The 20453-nt window shown below is 58.7% G+C and overlaps 1 protein-coding gene and 1 long non-coding RNA gene across 2 annotated transcripts in view, besides 2 other annotated features; one reads left to right on the forward strand and one right to left on the reverse strand.

Annotated features, from left to right (window-relative positions):
• GALNT9 (polypeptide N-acetylgalactosaminyltransferase 9) overlaps positions 1–8300 on the reverse strand; it is a 133218-nt gene extending 124918 nt beyond the window's left edge. Inside the window, exon 1 of the mRNA NM_001122636.2 lies at positions 7677–8300. Coding sequence (NP_001116108.1) covers positions 7677–7914 — 238 coding nt within the window. The 5' untranslated portion in view covers positions 7915–8300. The remainder of the gene's footprint in view (positions 1–7676) is intronic.
• Positions 1952–2601: an enhancer, noted in NCBI's record as "H3K4me1 hESC enhancer chr12:132899827-132900476 (GRCh37/hg19 assembly coordinates)". NCBI's record gives its function as "activates a minimal SCP1, AML or CMV promoter by ChIP-STARR-seq in naive H9 embryonic stem cells {active_cell/tissue: H9 hESC(naive)}" and the evidence as "EXISTENCE:reporter gene assay evidence [ECO:0000049][PMID:30033119]".
• Positions 5739–6938: an enhancer, noted in NCBI's record as "P300/CBP strongly-dependent group 1 enhancer chr12:132903614-132904813 (GRCh37/hg19 assembly coordinates)". NCBI's record gives its function as "activates an origin of replication core promoter dependent on BRD2, BRD4, P300/CBP, MED14 and CDK7 cofactors, with strong dependence on P300/CBP, by STARR-seq in HCT116 cells {active_cell/tissue: HCT116}" and the evidence as "EXISTENCE:reporter gene assay evidence [ECO:0000049][PMID:35650434]".
• Positions 8301–8560: 260 nt separating the features above from the next.
• LOC101928416 (uncharacterized) lies at positions 8561–10286 on the forward strand. Its single transcript, NR_120467.1, has 2 exons — positions 8561–8919; positions 10170–10286. It is a non-coding gene; the product is annotated as an uncharacterized LOC101928416 (long non-coding RNA).
• Positions 10287–20453: the final 10167 nt, after the last annotated feature.

The raw sequence follows: 20453 nt of genomic DNA on the forward strand, positions 1-20453 counted from the left end.
CACCAGCTGCTCCGGAGACCTTGGTTTCCCGTCTGCTAATGAGTCGCCCGTCTCATCTGGGTCCTGGCAGATCCGAGTGAAACTGAAAATGTGCTTCAAGCAGCTAGTGAGACGGGCACCACCAGAGATGGGACCTCAGTGCCCCCACAAAACAGGCACCCACAGTGTCACATCCCTCGTCAAGAACCTTCTGGCATGGTCCGGAGCCTGGGAGTGCAGCCAGCACCCTTCCGGGGCCAACAGGCTGTCCTGGCAGCCCCCTGCCCTAGCACCTCACCATCTCCCTCACTCACTTCGCCCTGACCACCCCAACCCCAGGGCCCACTGTGGCCTCTGCACCTGCCACCGACACCCAGCACTTCCCCCGGATTCTCTCCTGGCAGCTCCTTCTCCTCATTCACAATTCAGAGAGTGGCTCCCTCCCCACCCACCTGTGTGTGTCCCAGGTCACTGCAGTGGCACCGAGTGGGGAGGCTCCACCCCACACACCTGTCCCCTCACACACCTGTCCCCTCACACAGGAGCCCACACACCTGTCCCCTCACACACCTGTCCCCTCATACAGGAGGCCGGGAGTTGGATGTCAGGCGCGCAGGGCCACACTCCCTCTGAAGGCAGTGGGTAAGACACATCCTGCCTCTCCCCAGCCCCCGCCTCGGCCCCCTGCACCACCCCAGCCCCCGCCTCGGCCCCCAAGGGGCGTCCTCCCCTCCAAACCCCCACTGTCTCTCCTCGTCTTAGAAGGGCCACAGTCATTGGATTTAGGGCCCACTAATCCCCAGTCCTGGCTGAGGGCATCTTATCTAATTACTTCTGCAAAGACCCTGTTTCTAAATAAGCCACATTCCGAGGTTCCAGGTGGACGTGAGCTTCCGGGCGGGCCCCGTTCAACCCGTAACCATCCCCGCCACCCAGATACCCATTCGTCCACGTCACTCAGGCCTCCTCGTAGGTTTGTCTGAGACCATCTGGACCATGCAACTTACTCACTCCCCGTCTTCCTCCCTGGGATGTCAGCCCCTGAGGTGGGGACATCTCTGCTCAGGCCCGCGTCCTCAGCGCAGTTCAGGAATGCAGCAGGTGCTCACGAATTCGCCAGGAAGGAACGGACATGCGGCACATGAGGTGGTGCCGTTGCTCACTGAGACAGGCCCTCAGCTCATAGGGGCTGGGCCCGCAAATGCCAGTTCGAGCACAGCAAGCACCCAGCATCCCCGTCCGTGACTCAGTTGCCCCACAGAAGGCTCCGGGAGGGGTGAGTGTTTGCACAGGGAATGGGGGCGTCTGCCCAACCCCAGCTCCTGTCACCCCTTCACAGTTTGCCCCCTCCTACTTCCAGAACGTAGGAAGCACCATGGCGTCCCCAGGCATGGGAGGGGGGTTTGCAGGCTCTGCGAGGATGGAGGTGGGAGCAGGCCTGGGCGGCTTCCTGGGAGGGCCTGGTGAGCCCAGGGGACCGGGCGCAGAGCCCAGGGCCGAGCTGCTTCCGTGCTACGAGATGATACAACCCTTGGCACCTTTTAAACGACTGGAAAATGAGTTTCTCCTTCCTGTGAATGGCAGCTAGAGGGGGGACTGTCAGACTTAGGCTGACACCAGTCCGCTTGCTGAGTGGCGGGGCGGCCATCGCTCTCCTGGCCGTCCCGTACGGGAAAGCCCAGGCCACAGGGGCACTTCCTCGGGCTCGAGAGCCGTGCGTCAGCCTTGCCCCCTCCTCCAGCGCCTCCCGGCTTCTCCACCTCCTTGTCCCTTCACAGGCATCTGTGCTTGCTCAAGAGAAAATGGGCTGCTGACCACACGGGTCTCAAGACATGGATCCCATCCTGCCCGTTTGTCCTCAGTGGGAGATCTGACATGGAAATTTACAGACTTATTTTTGTCAAGTTTCCAGCCAATGAAGGATAAACTGTCCTTTCAGAAAATAGTTCCAAGACTCTGAAATATGCAGGTTGCTGTGCTGAATTGTAAATGCAAACACTCAGCCCAGCACACGCCGACGCTGGGGATCACCGCCTGCCTGGGTCGTTCCTAGAAGCTCGGGCTGCTGCGTTTGCAGACAGAAGGCTGCCGACCGGGCCTGCTCTACGCAGGTCTGCTCCGCCCCAAGGGAAGTGGCTGACAAGTGTTTAGGAACTCATCTCCCCCAAGACTCAAAGGGGCAGGTCTGCACAGAGGCCACCCTCCGGGTTAAGGGAACGGGCTGAGTGGCTCTGAGTGGTCAGATGGGGTCAAAATCCCCAGCGAATCTGGGGGCAGCGATGGGGAGGACAGCTGTGTGTGAGTGCAGGCAAGGAAGAGAACGCACAACCAAAATGTCGTTCATCTCAGCCAGGAAATGCCAGGCTCCTCCGAGTGCCGGGAGCCCCAGCGGACGTCAGAAAACCGGAGAGGCAATCCCCGTCCAGTAGCCACGAACCAGCCTCATCGTCGGAGTCAGAGTGGGGGCTCTGGCCGTGGGTAGTAACTATTTTTTCAGTTTTTGTAGTAAATCCACAATCATGGGGAAGCTGTGAACCTCGGCCGGGGCGGGGGCCCGGAAGTTAATGATCCGGGTGGAAAGACGGTCAACGCTGCTGCCACTGTGGAAGCGAGACCTGCCGGGGCCGGGACTGAAGCCTCCAGGGCGCTGCAGCTGTCTTCCCGGCCACGGCCACTCCGGCTGTTTGGATCAGCAACGTGGGACGTTGTAATACACGGAGGGAATTCAGGGGAGGGTAGAGACGATGAACTCAAGCTGGAAAGGCCGCCTGAACCAGCAGGAGCCATTTGGGAAATAAAACTCACAAATGAATAGGAAAAGCTTTCTGCTGGAAACCGCACTTCCTAGCAAGGAGAATTTCTCAAAGCGTTTCCAAAATGGAAACGCTTACGCAGAGCAGAGCAGACGCTTGGAAAGCCCTTTTTAGAAACCCACACCTGACACCCTCCGGAGCTCTCGAGGGAGAGTGTGCCGGAGCCGGCAGAGTGGGGGCCGCAGGACATTCCGAGACGCACGCGTGGCGGCAGCCAGGCATTGCCCGGGCCGAGCCTGTGCGCCTCCAGCCGCGCCTTCCGCACGACCCCGCGCGCTCCGACGGCGCTGTCTGTGAGCTCCTACCTGGCCCTCACTCATCACGCGGGACTGACGGGGCACGTGCTTTGTGCCGCGCGTGCAAGAGACGCTGTCCTCGTACGGCTGACCTGCCGGGGCCGCGTCCGAGACCCCGGACCAGCGGCTATGGATGGGACTAAGGCAGTGTGGGCCGACTGCCTGTCACTTGTGGCAGCGGGGGGTCTTTGGACTGGCTCCCCAAGTTCACGCTCTCAGCTGTGCAGTCTGCCTGCTGCTGAAGCAGATGCCATGGCCCCGGCTCTTGTCAGGGAGACACCCTCCCATCTAGACCGCCGCCCTCTGCAGCCGGGTGCAAGGCAAGTGTTGGGTGGCCTGGCATTCTCCCCCCACCGCCCCTTTCTCACCCCCCAGCCTCTCCATTCTGGTTCAGCCAGGTCTTCACTGGTGGTCACTCATGGTGCCCGGACTCCTGGCAGTGTTTTGCGTCCGGATTAAAGGTCTGGGACCCCACTGTGGCGAAGGCAGCCTGGGGAGATACGCCCCTTGGCAACCTGACCACCCCTTCCCCAAGCCCTCCAGCCCCACAGGAACGTCCCCTCAGCTGCTGCTCTGAACACACACTGGGGCTTCCCAAAGCAGGGGCTGCGTCCCGGTGGGCCCAGCTTGCAGACATGGCTGTGGGCCATGCACGGGCACAGCTTTATGAGATGCCACCCCACTTCAGACCTTGCTCTCCCAAGTTCTTCCGGCGTCGTGCTCATGTGGCCCCGGCTCAGGCCTCCCTGGGGGACAGGGCAGGCCTTGGTGGGGTGACGCCTGCTGGAGTCTCCAGGCTGTTCCCACGGCACTCAGTCACCTTCTACTCACGGGTGCGCTGGAGACACACAAGTGTCTCTTAAGTTCATTTAAACAAAACAATGAATTGTTTGGAGAAAAACCCTCTCGCTTGCTCACTGGACAGATATTCGTGGAGTGCTATGTTCACAGTACCGCCAGAGGCCTTGGGCATCAGAGCCAGGACCAGACAGACACAGCCTCGCCCTCAGTGGACACGAGCGAGGTGTCACACAGTCATGGGGGGATGCATGAGGCACGTGGGAATTCCTGAGGCTGGAGGAAGCCTGAGTCCATGTCCCCAGAGGGGGGGCCGTGGGCAGGATGAGCGTGCAATGAGCGTGCACCACACTCCAACCTTCTCTGACCAGCAACTGGCTGGCCACAGTGGGGCCTTCTGCTTTTTTAATGTAAACTTTTAGTAACTACAGAAACCTAGGTCCCTCTGAAACCAGCGCCACCTCGCTGGACCTCTCTGGGCCCCGTGGCCCACCCCGCTCCAGGCTCTCAGCTTTCCTGCTGCTCAGGCCCAGACCTCTCAGACCTGGGACCTGGGCTAGGGCAGGTCAGTGAGAGGGAATTCACACATGTGCTCTGAATTTTAGAAACAACCTCCCTCACAACCAACCAACAAAAGGAAAACTTCCCATCGCCATCCCTGGCTCCATCCTCCATTCAGAGCCTTTCTTCCTGAGGGGCAGGAGGGCCAGGACCGCGCCAGGCAGGGGTGATTCTCCTCTCCCAGCAGAGTGAGTCCAGCCGCTGCGACGCGGGCGACCGTGCTCCCTGGCGGTGACCTTCACTCGCTCCACGCCCACAGCAACAAACAGCCTGGCATGCCTTAGCGCTGCCCAGGCCTCGCATGGACACAGGGGTAGGCCCTGCAAGCGCCTAGAGAAAGTGGGGGCTCTTTGTCTCTCTCTCCCCTTCCCATCTCAAGGGGCTTGAAAATTTTCTTAAAGGCAGAAGGGTTTGAATGCCCAGACAACTGAATGGAGACAGTTCTTCCCCTTCTTTTCCTTGAGTTTAGAGGCTCTGAAATTTAGCGTTTATGAGACTTACTGTGTCTGCTGCGCACAAAACCATGGATGCTGTCTTTTATGTGCAACTGAAGATATTCAGAAGGGTGGTTTTTGTGTATAAACATTTTTTCCTTGCCTTGAGCGCTGAACTTAGAAGCAAACCTTGATGTACACATAGGAGTGACTACACAGAGCTTCCTTAATGAACATCCCTCTGGGGCCTTATGAATTTGAATCTGCACACATTCCTTAGGAGTTCTTTGCCAAGGTCAATGGATATCCCAAAGAAAGGCCACTGGACCAGCGGAGGCAGGGTGTGGGAAGAACTTTGGATTCTGGGCCCCTCCCCACCCCAGTGGCCCTCCCGCTCCTCCAGCTCCCATGAAGACGTGGACTTCCTTCCACCAGGCCCCTCCCAGCCAGCAGAGGAATTCCAGGAAGCAATCAAGGCAGGGAAAAGGGATCAATCCATTTTGTTTCGGATTTCCCCCTCTCCTTTCTGAACTCGGATGGATTAGTATCGAGTGGGAGCTCCCAGGAATCAATTTTGCATCCTGGGATGTCACATTCTGGAACAGGCTGTGATCTAAGAGCTGGCCGCCTCCTCCAGGGAGCTTCTTACACACCTTTTAGCACTGAGAGCCTGTGCCAACATCAGAGCGGGTAATGCTGTTTCAAAGGGCCTCATGGCGACAGACATCAGGCCTCTACGGCACCGCCCTCCCCGTAGGGCCCCACCGGGGGTGAGAGTAATTTTGGTGTCTCCCATCATTTCCTGGGGCAAAGATTGACTGACTCTTGGGTTTAGACACTGTGCCTGGCCTGCTGGTCACAGAGAGGAACGCAGCACAGCCTCATCACAGAGGGGGACGAAACTCGGCCTCATCAAAAGGTTGAGGGCAAAGACAGAGGCAGACAGATGGCAGGGGCCGTTCGGAGAAAGGCTGACAAGGGAGGACAGCTAGGATGAAGGAAAGAAGGAGAAACAATTTTAAAAGAAAGAAAGGAGGAAGGGGGAGGGAAGCGAAGAGGAAGAAGGGAGGGGACAGAGGACAGGAGGAAGCGGGATGGGAGAAGGCAGTGGGGGCGGTGGGCGGTGGGGGGAGACACACTTTCCCGGAATGCTTCCTTATCTCCCGCCAATGTCAGCAAAGCGGATCATGGGTCCTGGCTTTTTCCACCACCAAGAATCCCAGCCGATTCTCACCTTGAAGGGTGAGGCAGGGAAAACGACTCACAGGGCCGAGCTGCCCTCGTGGTGTTACACAACCTCAGTGTGCTGCCAATGTTTTTATGTAATCCTCTGGCTCTCCCCATAAAACAGACCATAACACCATGGCGAGCACACTTCAATAGAGCCATGTGCTATTGCCGGGCACACCGCCTTCCGGGAGATGAATTGCTCTGCCGGGCGGCTGGGCGGCTGCTTGAACTACTTTTCTCCCCTCGTGGCTCCAGCTGAATCAGAAAGATCAGAGAAGCCACAGAGCTCACCAAGCACAGCTCTGCGGGAAAGTCAGGGATTCTGTGGGTGATGGGAAGGCGCTCAGGAAGTCAGGGTGCTCTGAGTCAGACAAAGCTGGGACAACCCCTCCTCATGGGGATTCACCTCCCCCTCCCACCCCACGGCCTGTCTGCAGCCCACCCTCAAGAGAGGGTGTGGCTCCTGAAGGAAACGCAAGACCACCCCCCGCCTTTGCCCCCACACACAGCAGGCACATCCGGAGCCCCCGCCTGCCCGCGTAACCCCAGCTCCCGTCACCTCCCACTCGAGCCTGTTACGGATGCTTTCTGGAGGAGGTTTGCTGGGGCTGCCAAGGCAGAAGCCTGAATCATCGGCACGGAACGGAAAGCCACACCAGCTAGTGATGTAGGCACATGCAAACTTTCTCCTTCCTGGCGCCCCGGTGCAGAGTGGCCTTGGGGGCGGCTGCTCCTCCGGGAAGGTGGAGCAGCTGGAAAAGTGCTTGCTCTCAGCAGCTGTGGCCGCTGGCCCTGACCTGTGGTGATGCCGGTGCTGCTCCTCGGGCTGACCTACGTCCGCTCGTGATGAAACAGACCCACCGGGAGCTGGAGGCTTTCATGGATTCTGGGGCTCCCAGGTGCCACAACTTGGGCCCCCCTGGGTAATGAGTCCTGCCAAGCCCTGCATGATCCTCAACTCCATCCTCCCAGGAGTCTCAGGTCTCAGCTTCAAGCTTCTCCCATAACAACTTTCTAACGCGGCCTCGGGCACCCCCAGGACAGGGGGCCGCCTAGCCCAGTGGTCGAAGCATTTGGGGTGCCTTCGAACCTCAGGGGCAAAGGACACTGCACCAGCAGCCTCCCAAGTGTGGCGTCCCCACCCTCCTCTTTCCCCACCTTCAAGAGTGGAGGGGTCGGCGCAGCCTAAACCTGACGGCCCCCACTCCTGGAGCGCCAAGCCAGCCCCCCACCCCACACTCCTGGACCTAGGCACTGCCTGCTTCTAGAGCAGCTCCAAAGATCCTCTGCAGAAGTTCCCTCGGAGAGCAAGTTTGCGTCATTGTGGGGGCAGGGGGATTCCTCAAGTCTCCACTGGAGGGGTGGGTGCCCGGTGCGGGGGGAACCCAGGTTGCTGCCCGCTGCTGAAGGGGCTTCCGCGGCCCTTCCCTCTCCTCTCTCCTGTATATTCCCTCCCACAGGGGCGCAGAGGGGCGCGCACCCGAGGCCGGCCTGACCCATCGCGCCCGGGGTGGCCACTGTCCCGGGCAGGGCTGCCCCCACTCCGCCCCGGCGCCCCCGCTCACCGTTGAGCTGGTTGTAGACCACCTCCTCCAGGTGGTCCAGGCGCTGCAGGATGGCCTCACGGTCCCCCAGCGTGCCCACCTTGGCGTGTCGGCTGCGCACCCGGCGGTCGCCGCTCACGATGCGCACGAGCTCCTGGGAGCGGCCCTGCAGGCGGCAGTACACGGAGAACAGGACGATGCCCACGAACACCAGGATGTTCACCGTCAGCAAAGTTCGGATCTTCCTGGCCACCGCCATGAACACGGCTGCAGCGGGGGCCTCACCCGCGGGGCATCCCCAGCATCCCCGCCCGGGCCTGGGCTTCAGCTTCGGCTTCGGGGACCATGAGCCGCCCGGGGCTGCGGGGGCTGCGGGGCTCGGCCGGAGCTGTCCCTTCAGCACCAGCTCAGCGCGCCGGGCCACGGCCGCCGGGGGTCCCCCAGAGCGCAGAGGGCTGCCCGGGGCTGGGGTCGCGGGGCGCGGCCGGCATCCCCCGCTCAGAGGGCGCGGCCCCGCCCCGGGGAGCGGTGAGGGGGGCCGGGGGCGCCGGGGGGCGGCGGGGAAGGCGCGGGCGGGCGGCGCTCGGTGTCTGTGCCGGCTCCTGTCCTGCCCGCCCCGCAGCCACCGCGCCGGTGCAGAGTGACGCGGCCTCACCTCACCTCATCTGCAACCGCGGCCCCAGGACCGCCCCGCCCCGCCTCCCCCACCCCTCAAGGCCGCCCCCCGGGACCGCCCCGCGCGCCTGCCCCGCCCCCCCCACCGCGCCCCCCCGGGGACCCCAGGACAGCAGGTCCGGGGGGCGGGGGACGGGGGGCGGGGCGCGCGGGGTAGCCTGGGCCAAGGGCGCGCGGGCGCGGGGAGCGGGGGCGGGGCAGGCGCGGACCCTCCCTCCCCAGGACCCGCCAGACGCCCGGGGCCCCCAACGGCCAGCACGGTCCGAATCGACCCCAAGCTTGACCCGAGGGCAGCGGGGCCTCCGGGAATGCCTGGCCAGGGCGGTGTCGCCGGGAGTGAATGGGGGAGGGGGCGGCCGGGGCAGGACCCGGGTCAGGGCCACTCTGGTAGTCTCCTGCCCACCCCTCCCCAAGCCGAGCTCCCGGCCTCCCTCCCTCTCCCCCGTCCAGGGCTGAGGACTGGGGAAGCTGAGTCCCGGGACGGGTATGGGGGGGTTGGGGCTTGGGATGCAGCCGGACCTCCGGGAACAGCAGGGGGCCCTGGAGCCACCAGGAGGGAGAAGGCCCCGTCCCTGAGCCAGGCTCGCAGGTAAGACCCGAGGCCGCAAACCCCGGCTGCCCCCACCCCCAGCCCAGGCTCTGATCTGGCCCCACACTGGCGTTTTGTGGAGGAGACCCTGGAAGCCAGGGGAGATGTCAGCCAAGCCGCGCAGCACAGGGGCCCAACTTCCACTGGCAGAATGCAAGCACCCAAGAGGCAGGAGTTTCACCCAAAGGCAGGGTTCACCCCTGTGTTCCCAGAGATTGGACACATAGCTGGTGTTCAGTAAACATTTGCGGGATGAGTGAATAAATGACGGAGCATTTATTAAGAGCATGGCTGTGCTTGGCTCTCCATACAGAGATGAGTAAGGCAAGGGGCTTCACAGCTCTTGGCTGTGTGTGTGTCCGTGTGTGTGCATGAGTGTGCATGCATTTGCCTCTGTGTGCCTGTGTATCTGCATATGTGCATGTCTGTGTTGTCAGCACGCATGCATGTGCATGTGTCCACGTGTTTCTGTGTGCATGTCTGTGTGCCCGTGTGTGCATGTATCTGTGTGTGCATGTGCCTGTGTCTGTGTGCATTGTCTCTGTGTGTGTTCATGCGTGTGCATGTGTCTGTCTGTGCCTGTGTGTATTTGTGTATGTGTCTATGTATGTCTGTGTGTGTGTTCACATGTGTGCATATCTCTGTGTTCATCTCTGTTTGTTCATGTGTGCATGTGTCTCTATATCTGTGTGCATCTATGTGTCTGTGTTTGTGTGTCCATGTGTGCATTTGTCTGTGTATCTGTGTACGAGTGTCTGTGTGTCTGTGTGTGCATGTCTGTGTTTGTGTGTTCATATGTGCATGTTTCTATGTATATATGTCTCTGTGTTCATGTGTGTTCATGTCTGTGCATGTTCACATGTATGCATGTTTCTCTCCATGTGTCTCTGTGTGTGCATGTTTCTGTGTATGTATGTCTGTTCATGTGTGTGGTCTGTGCATGTTCAAATGTGTGCATGTCTGTGTGTTCATATCTGCATTTGTTCATGTGTTCATGTGTCTATGTGTGTGTTTGTATGTATATCTGTGTGTGCATGTGCCTGTGTGTGTGTGTCTGTGTATGCACATGTGTGTAGGGGGATCTGGGGGGTTCTGGCTCTGAGCTTAGTACTCTATTCTTCAAATATCCGTTTCTTGGCATCGGGCATGACAGCCTATCCAGCTTGGAGGTTTTCTGCCCCTTGGCTGAGGCTGGGCGAGCCGAACACCCATTTCTCCTTTCTTTGTTGAGCCATTCTTTTCTTCCTCAGGATGTTTATCCCAGGAAATCCAGAGGATCAGAACCAGGCAGGACCCGGCACTGGGACGGAGGCAGCTGTCTGCGGGGCGTTTACCGTAGATACGTATCACCTGTTCTGAGACAGAGCCTGGGAGGCTGTTTTTAATCATCCGGGAGGTGATTACTATGCAGCCAGTGTGATAAACCCTGGTCTGTTTTTGATCAATAGCCATTCCCGTGTCCCTCCTGAAAATGCCGTATTCTTCTGCTTATAAAATGCAGGTTGTAAAATGTTTCCCGACGTTACGAGGACAGCTGCTGGAATAATGATGCAGGTAGCTGGCACACACGCAGTGCAAAGGTTTCACCAGACATGGTCTTCTATGCCTATCACCTGGTCAATACGAGCAGCAGCCACGTTAAGGTGTAATACACACTGGCGTCATCTAACGTTCCATGTGAGGAAACTGAGGCACACAAAGGGCAACTGGCTTGCTCAAGGTCGCGTGAATGGCAAAGCGTGGATCTGGGATTCAAGCCCAGACAATTGGGCTCCAGAATTGACTTTATTAGTCATGATCACTCCAGAGAAAACATCAAGCACTTTTCATTACATGTTTAATGAAAATGATGTTAAAGTGGTTTTGTAGGAGAAAACATTTCATTCATGTAAATACATTTTACTGCATTCTAAAATCTAGCAGGAAAAGATGTGGCCTAACTACCGTCAAGATCTGGGTACATTTCATTGGAAATACAAGCACATTGGACATGGGAAAATACTGGGGAACTTTACATGGAAGAGAATGCATCTGATAGTCTGGCGCACTAGCATTTGCTGGATTTTTAGGACATATGGGAGGCCGGGTGCGGTGACCTCCCCCAGCAATCCCAGCAATTGGGGAGGCTGAGGCCGGTGGATTGCTCGAGCCCAGGAGTCCAAGACTAGCCCGGGCAATATGGTAAAACCTCATCTCTATGAAAAAAAATACAAAAAATTAGCCGGGTGTGGTGGTGCACAGCTGTAGTCTCAGCTACGTGGGAGGTTGAGGTGGGAGAATCACCTGAGCCTGGGGAAGTCAAGGCTGCAGTGAGCCGAGATTGCACCACTGCACTCCAGCCTGGGTAACAGAGTGAGACCCTGTCTCAACAAACAAAACACAAAAATATATATATGCTGAATGCTCAGTGAGCTGTAACATGTGAGGCAGCCCCCAGGGGTGCCGAGATGAACCGCTAAGAAGGCGTATGTTCCCACGGGGTGCAGAGATGAACCCCTGTCTGAGAAGGCGCATGTACCCATGGGGTGCAGCGATGAACCCCTGTCTTGAGAAGCCGCATGTACCCACGGGGGTGCAGAGATGAACCTCTGGGAAGGCGCATGTACCCACAGGGTGCAGAGATGAACCCCTGTCTGAGAAGACGCATGTACCCACGGGGGTGCAGAGATGAACCTCTGGGAAGGCGCATGTACCCACAGGGTGCAGAGATGAACCCCTGTCTGAGAAGACGCATGTACCCACGGGGGTGCAGAGATGAACCTCTGGGAAGGCGCATGTACCCACAGGGTGCAGAGATGAACCCCTGTCTGAGAAGGTGCATGTACCCACGGGGTGCAGAGATGAACCCGTCTGAGAAGGCACATGTACCCACGGGGTGCAGAGATGAACCCCTGAGAAGGCGCATGTACCCACGGGGTGCAGAGATGAACCCAACTGAGAAGGAGCATGTACCCACGGGGTGCAGAGATGAACCTGTCTGAGAAGGCGCACACACCCACAGCTGCCCCTCATCTTAGCACCACAGTGCCAGCCCCACCCTGTCTTTGATAAGCCCTGGCCTTCCAGGGCCTCCCTCAGAGAACCAGCCCCTGCGGAGTCCCTGAACGTAGCTGCGGTCTGGGGTGCCGACCCTCGGCACTGGGAGAAACCCTCACCAGTAGCATCACCCCCCAGTGAGCCAAGATCGCACCACGGCAGCATCACTGGGGAGGGAGTCACGTGGTTGTCACTGCAGAACTCTGGAGAGGCAGGCTCTTGCGTGGGTGGGGGCCATGGAGGACGCAGCGTGGGATTTAAAATGAGCCCAGTGAAGGGAAATGCTGGTTCTTCAATGTCCATGAGCTCAAGCCCTGTGGGAGGTGTAGCCTCGATTATTTTGCACAGATCTGAACAGCATTCACCCCCAGTTGGATATGGCCCTTTCCTCGAAGCACAGATTGGAACTCAAGGTCACTGAAGTGCTTTCTGGCCGCATCATGGAGAGAAAGGCATTTTCTCACTCAGGCATCACCCCGGGAACGTGGCGTGCCATGTTTTAGCATCTAAGTGTGTCCCCCGAGGAGGCAGGGTTATGCCGTAATCACAAGCAAACCCCAAACCTCAACGGCATAAACGACACAGGGTAATTTATCATGGGATTGCGTGTCCACCTGGGTCCCCGCGGAGCTCTGTTGACTGGAGTCGCTCGGAGCCCCCGGCGCGAATGCTGGATGGCTGGGCGGGGAGGAGCGCTCAGGGGCTTCACGCTGTCAACACCCCACTCCGAAGTGACTCCCGCTGCTTCCAGCAGTCACCTGCTGGACAGAGACCGTCACACGGGCCCCTTCACGCAGTGGGGTGGGAAGGGAGATCCTACCGCGTACCTGGAAGACGGGAGAACAGGGGTGTTTCGGTGAGTAGTGCTCTCTCTCAGTCCGCACGGCAGCCTTCCAGCAAATCGGGATTTTATGCCAAACTCGCCCCACGCCCCCAAATGCCAGGTTCCCCGGGGTAGCAACGAATGACACGTTGTCCAATCAGACTTCAGTGTAACCATGTCACAGAAGACATGACTAAAGCAAAACAGGACTGGGTGGGGCGCATTTTGGTTTTGACGAGGTTGGGTCTGGGTCTCTGCTTCCCTCTCCTGGGCCAAGATCCTCTGGGCGTGGAGTTCAGGAATGAGGGTGGGACCTTCCCCAGGAGACCCAAGTATGGGCAGCGGTTGCTGGGACCAAGTCCTCACTGAGAGTGACTTCGACAAACATCCATTGGCAGCTCCAGCTTAGGCCCAGGAGACAAAGTGGGGGTCACTGACACCCCGGATTTTTTTTTTAATGACTGAGTCATGATTTGAACACTGGTCTGTTGGATTTCAAGATCTGTGATTTTCTCACTGAACACGCTAACTCCTGGGACAGCAGAGAGTTCCTTAGATTGGACCTAATAACACACTGATCCCCTCCCCTCCTGCTTTTCTGTATTTTTTAAAAATTATTTTGTTTTTAATTCACAAATATTGTATATGTTATATGGGGTAGAATGTGATGTTGATATATGTTTAAAATGTGGAATGATTAAATCAGGCTAATTTACTTTTTTTTCCTAAAAGGACCTTGGCTTCAGAATTAACTTTAATTTTCATTCCACTTTGCTTATATGGCCTTGGCAAGATCAGTCCTTGTAGCACGGCCGGGACTTAAGCTCTGAACCACCAGTGAGGAGGTCGTTGGTCTGAGCCTGCTTTTCCAAGTCCTATCTTCCCTTCTTGGGTTCAGACAGCAGATCCGACTGTAAGTGGCTTTAAAGAGACAGCAGACATGTTTGTGGCAGTTTATTCATTGCCCCTGGATGCCACCCTTGCATGCCCCCTATGTGACAGCTAGCGGCCCACAGCCCATTAACCCTGCAGATGGGCACAGCAGGCCTCAGGGAGGTGATGTGGGTTCAGTGTGCCGAAGATGAAGAGATGCAGGGGACTCAAACCCACTGGCCGAGGCACCACCCGTTTCTCCAGGCAAAGAGGTGAGTCCCAACCAGTGAAGAGAAGGGAGAAGTGGTGCCAGGGCGAGAACGTGTGTGTGCCTGTGTGTGTGCCTGTGTGTGCTTGTGTGTGTGTGCATGTGTGTGTGCACATGAGCTTCTGTATGTCTGCAGCTGCACATGTACATATATGTGCATGTGTGCATGTGTGCCTGAGTATGTGTGCATGTGCACCTTTGTGTGCCTCAGTATGTACACGTGTGTGCATGCATGCATGTGCATTGTGCTTGTGTGTGTGCATGAGCCTGTCTCTGCCTGCACATGTGCGCCTAAGCATGTACCCGTGTGTGCATGCATGTGTGTGCATGTCTTTGTGTGCCTAAGTATGTACACGTGTGCATGCATGTGTGTGCATGTGTGTGTGCGTGTGTGCCTGTGTGCCTATGTACGTGTACCTCTGTGTGTGCCTGCACATGGACACGCATGTGTGTGCATGTGTTTGCCTGAGTATGTACATGTGTGTGCATGCATGCCTCTGTGTATGACTATGTACATGTGTGCATGCCTGTGTGTGTGTGAGAGAGGGAGAGAGGGAGTGAAGGAGGGAAAAAGAGAAAAAGGGAGAGAGGAAGATGGAATGGGGATAGAAGGGAGTTATAATAAAAATGGAGGACTTTGGGTGCATTTTCTGCTATTTTTTTCTCCCGAAAACGCTGTAAAGGGGTTATATAATTTGAGTGTCCTCAGTGCTGAAATTGCGTTTACCCCTTGGGTCCTAACCCAGCTTTGTGACGACTGTGGTGCGATCCCGGTTCCCTGGCAGTACTTGTCAACAGGGTCAAATGCCTGTTCCTTGCCGGTCTCTTCTGTGGAACAAAACCCTCACCTAGGAGGGTTTCAGGTTTTGCCTTAATTTTTATCAAATCTGTAGAGGATATTTCTGCGCCAGATACTGCTCCAGACACTTTTCAAAAATGCATTCTCTGCAGCTTCAGAGCAGCCCTTTGCGAGGGGGCATCCGTGCCATGCCCGTGGTATAGATGGGGAAGCAGAGGCAGCTGGAGTTTCCATAACTGGCCTGAGGCCGCGCAGTTACAGGAGATGGGGCTGGGGCTCTGCCCGGGCAGTCTGGCTGCAGAGTCCAGCTTTTAAGCTCGTCTCTAAGCTGCCTCTGCTGCCAATGAACCATCATAAAATAGATTTTTTTTTTTTTATCCTACAAAGGGTTCATTTTTCCTGTTTCCTTCTGGCCCATAATGTGGATAACTTGCCCCTTCAGCACAAGTTGGTGAACAATTCATCCACCAGCATATTCAAACCACGGCCAACCAGTGGCTGAAAACAACAGCAAGCAGCCGCCTAGCACAGGGATCTGTCCGTGGGCTGGACGCGACAGGGAGGACTCGGCTCTGCGCCTGGGGCCCGGGACCCCGACTGGAGGTGGGGTCGGCTCTGCTCCTGGGGCCCGGGACCCCGACTGGCAGTGGGGGCTGGAGGAAGCTGTGCTCATCGGATGGCTTGGCACTCACGCGTCTGAGGGTTGTGGCTGGCCTTGGCAGAGGCCCGCTCCTGGCAGTGGCTGAGCTGTCGGAATCCAGCACCCTCCCCTCCACATGGCCTGAGCTTCCTCACAGCATGGCTGCCAGGTTCCAAGCTCCAGCCCTGGGAGAGACGGCCAAGCGGGAGCTGCATCATGCTCCCACATTTCCTGTTCTTGATTTGCCCCCACTGGGCACTGTAGCCTTCCTGCCAACGCAGCTCTCAGGAGTACGGCTGCTGCATGCCAAGGCATTTCCCCACATGGCCCTCCTGTGTGCTGTAAATGCCTTCAGCTCCTCAATGGAACGCACGTGTGGTGAGCACTGCTTCCTCGGTGTAAATGCTCCCATCATAGCTGGTTTCAAGCCGACAGTGCAACCACTGAGTCCAGAGTCAGGAACAACGGCTCTGCACACTGGTGGGAATCCACCCCGGCTTGCGCCTGCGCCCCGGCCGTGGCTCTGTGGAGCTCTCCGTCCCAGGGAACCTTCTCCTGGCTTTCGTGTCCTGCCCCTTCCCAGATTTCCCCACCCCTCTGGCTGTGCCTTCTGTGCCTTCCCCGCCAGCCCTGATGTGGGCACGGCTCACGCCCAGCACTCCTCAGCGCTTCCTTCCTTCCCAATTCCGCCCATGATTTCCCCCACGCCTGCTCCGTTTCTGAGTGCAGGCCACTCCCAGGTTGACACCTGCGTTCCATGTTGCACGGCTCAGCATGTGGGCTTGGACAGTGGGAGATGCGGCTTTCCATGAACAGCCCCAGTGTGTGGTCCGGCGAGTGGCGAGGCAGCTCTGTGGTGGCCAGGACCAAACCCAGGGTCTTGCTGTTCTACCACCCTCCACCCAGATCTGAAGCTCAGAGCTAAAAGTGACATTGTGCCTTCTGGCCAGTGGGAAGGAGTTAGGAGAGAAGAGGGAGGGACCTGCTTCGCGTTGAGGGCATGGGCAGGAAGCACAGGCTTCACTCCCCCTCCACAGCCAGGCGTGCGGGTGACGTGGCGACGTGTGGGTGACGTGGCGACCTGTGGGTGACGTGGCGGCATGCGGGTGACGTGACGACCTGTGGGTGATGTGGTGGCGTGCGGGTGACATGGCGACCTGCAGGTGACGTGGCGACCTGCAGGTGACGTGGCATCCTGGGCATGGGGAAAGTGGGAAGCATCGGCCTCGGCTGAGCAGCTGCGGCCGCCCGTCCCTGTGTGAGCAGGAGAATGGCTCACGGTTTGCGTGTCAGGGTTCTCCTGAGGAACAGTCACTGGACATGTGCAGATGTGAAGGCAGCTCATTCTCAGGAATGGCCCACGGGATGACAGAGCCTGAAAAACCCCAGATCTACAGGGAAGACCCTCAGGCTGGAGACCTGGGAAGAGCCCGTGCTGCCGTTCAGGTCCAAAGGCCAACTGCCAAGGAGGCCCCCAAGTCAGGGAGGGAAATCGGTGCGGCTCACAGTCCACGATTTAAATGTCAGTCTCATCCAAAAACACCCTCGCAGAAAACACCCTCATGGAAGCATCCAGAGAAACGTCTGGCCAAATGTCTGGACCCTGCGGCCCAGCCAAGTCTACACATAAAATTCACCACAGGCCACACAGACGCCTCTCTGGGTGGTGCCGACTGTGGCGGCCTTCACAGTTCTCTTGGGCTAGAACTTCCCGTCCACAGGCAGAGCCTCCCAGCAGGTCCACGGCCCACACACCATAGCCCCACAACTGTCATCCTGGGTGCAGGGCTTGGTCCACAGGAACATGTGCACCAGCAGACCCCACGAGGCCGCCCACGCGTGTGCTGTCCCTGAGCGAGACACGCTAGACCACGACCTCACAGCCGCTGCCGTGCCTGTCACGTGGAGAAGCAGGCTGAGGGCACAGAGACAGAGCCGGCCCTCCCCAGAGGAGACCTCGGATCTGGAGAGAACAGGGGTGAGGGGCCGGCGGGTGACAGGTTTCATTTCTGGCTCCAAGGAGGAGGGTTGCTGTTGCCTCCGACTTCCCAGAAGTGGCACGAACAAAATCCTCCTCTCCCTTAAGCTGGGTTGAGCTGGGTCCGCATCGATGCAGCTGTGTGTGTCCGGCTGTCCCCATGCGGCGTCCTGAGTGAACATCATGTTCTGCTTAGGAGGGACGTGTCGCCTGGGCAGCATTGCCTCACAGGCAGGATGCTTCCTCCTTCACCAGGTCCGCCTCCTGACAAGATGCATGGCCGGGGCCCAGGAGCGCCGCGTGGCCGAAGTTTAGGTCCCTTCTGCGGCAAGTCTTGCTCTCCCCGTCAGCTCCTTGGACGTCCCTCCCTGTCACAGCAGGTTAAAGTGGGCTCTGATGCGACCGCTGGTGTCCTTGTAGCAAGAGAGAAGTTTGGGCATGGACACACAGAGGGAGAAGGCCGCGCAGAGACCGGGGCAGAGGCTGCGGCGAGGTGGGGCCGGGAGGGCATGGCGCATCCTTCCCAGCTGAAGGCCGGCTGCCTCCGGTGGGCCTCGCCGGCAGGGCTGGAGAAAGGTATCAGCCGGATCAACGGCTGCACAGCCGGCACCACGGTGAGTGGATCCGCTCGCAGCGAAGCCACACCTGGCACAGCAGCTGCAGTTGGAGGCCCCACCTGGGCCAGCCTCCGGCGCCCACTGCTTCCCCAGGACACATCTGTCTTCTGCGCAGGCCAGAGGCTGAGCCGAATGGGGCTGGGGGTGGGTCACCACCCCTGCATCTTCCAAGGGCCTGGTGAGGACACCAAGCTCTGCGGCCCCTCGGCCATGTGGTCTTGCTTTTGATTTATGGCTTTTTTCAAAAGGTAGAATGAGCTCTGATGTCTCCCACCAGCATCTCCCTCCACCCAGCCCTCACGTCGCAGGGCAGGGAGCGGACGTGGAGTCTGCCAGCTCTAGTGTGTCTGCTCCAGTTGCACACCTGGAGCGGGGAAATGGCCCTGGGGTGCATCCCGGGACCCACTGGGCCTGTGGTGTCAAACCTGAGCTAAAATGGCACGGCCACCTGCCCTCCATAAGCCCCTTTCTAACTGGAGGGCCGCAGTGATGCTTTGGGGCTCCCAGAACCAACGTCAGTTCAGAGCCTTCAGAGCCCGTGTCCAGGAGTCCCCGAAAGGTCTAGTTCGGACCCGGTCACTGAGGCAGAAGCCCCACAGGTCCCGTTGGGCAGGGCGGGGAAGAGGAGCCCACACTTTTGGGGGGCCCAGGGCCCTTCCTGAGGGGGTTTGGTCTGTAAACCGCTCGCATCTGAGAACCTGAGACCTGCTGGAGGGGCCGAGACTGGTTTGATGACTGCGCTAGACTTTTGTTCACCTAAAACCTTCCTGTTTATGTCGATTAGGTAAAGATTTGGGAGGCCTCCCCTCGGTCCTTGGAAGGAGTGCGGTGGTGGGTCGCCGATGCCGCGGGTCCACCATGTCCCCTCACCTTCAGCTTCACTCCAGTTTCTGTCACTCACAGTCAACTGCAGCCAAGAATACAAAAGTCCAGGAGGAAGTCACTCACAGGTTTTAAATCGTGCTGTTCTGAGCAGCGTGATGAACCCTCGCACCGCCGGGTTCTGTCCTGCCTGGGCCGGGCACCCTCCCTGCGTCCAGCGTCTCCATGCTGCGCACACTGCCAGCCCGCGCGGGGTCACTCTACAGGAAAATGCATCGCGTATGAGACTCGGAACCACCTGGGGCTTTGGACATTCACTGGGGGTCTTGGAAATAGCCCCCACCCGCCATGATGAGGGGGACGACCGTGCACGCATGAGGCTACCCTGACTGCCACTCGGCCTGGCCGTCCACGTGGACACACCTCCCGCCCTCCCTTGGCAGTGGGTGAGTTCCGCCTACGGCTCTGCCTCCCGGGATCCGTTCATCCCGTGGTGCTCCTGCTTCCCGAGGCAGTGACCGCGTTTCCCACCAGAAGGTCTGCCCTGCAGAAGGAGCCGTCACGGAGCCCTCCCAGGTGTGAGGCCCCCACCAATGTGTTTCTCCCAGCCGTGGTGACAGCCTTGTCCCCGGGCCCCTTCTGGGGTGGCCGGCAGGTCTAACGACAGGTCCGGCCTGACACTGCAGCCTCCCTGGGCCTCTGGATTCTTCCCTCCAGTTACACCAAGGCAGGTGCGCCATTTCCAGCCCTCTCACTGGGCCACCGTGGGGCCTGTGTTCCACACAGCCAGACAAACAGCTCGCACCAATCCTGGCCCCCGGCTGCGGCATTCAGCACAGCAGCTCTGCGTAGCGAGCCCACTTCCAGAGTCAGCCCGATGCTGCGTTCTGTTCCTCCATTACCCACACCCTTAATATCCACCCCGCATGCTCACCCTGGCCCCTGATCCCTGGAACATGCTGGAGCTCCGAGACGAACCCTCCTTCCCGTGCCTGATTCCTGGCATCTCAGCCTTTGCCTGCTGTGGACCGTGTGTGCTCCAGCATGTGGATGAGCTGCTCAGAGCTGTGCAGTGTGTAGACATGGGCTCTGAGCACTTGGGGGTCTCCCCGAGGAGGGAGGACCAGCCACAGGCAGCTGACGAGCATGTGGGAGGCTGACGGAGGCAGAGTGGAGCGCCGACATCTGACTTGGGGTTGGGGGACCCAGGCAGGGACTGGAGGAGGGTGGGGGTAAAACATTGGGGGAGGGTGGGGGAGGACCTGCTGGAGGCTTCCGCTGGGCTGGGGCTGGGGGTGACCTGAGGGGTTCCCAGGAGCTCGGGTGGGACCGAGAGTCCCGGCACAGTCACCAGGGCTGTCAGTTCCGTGTGGTCGGCTGGTGTCTGGGCGCAGGCGCCTCCCGGGCCAAGTGTGTGCAGATGAGACTGTTACACAGAGCAGCCCCAGGCGCGTGCCTGGCACCACGACAGCTGTGCGGGCCAGACAGGGCCTCCCGCAGCCTCTCCAGGGCACCCACGCACAGCACACGTGGCAGGCAGCCTCCTCCTCCCGCTTGACGCCTCCCATGCCCCTCCCTGTAGCTGGTCGCAAAGTCCAGGAAACACCTGCCCGGTTTTCTGTCCTGTGGGTGGCTGAGACCCCGGCATTGGACCCGTGAGGCGACCTGTCTGAATGCA

Source organism: Homo sapiens, chromosome 12 (genome assembly GCF_000001405.40).
Source record: "Homo sapiens chromosome 12, GRCh38.p14 Primary Assembly".
Lineage (NCBI taxonomy): Eukaryota > Metazoa > Chordata > Mammalia > Primates > Hominidae > Homo > Homo sapiens.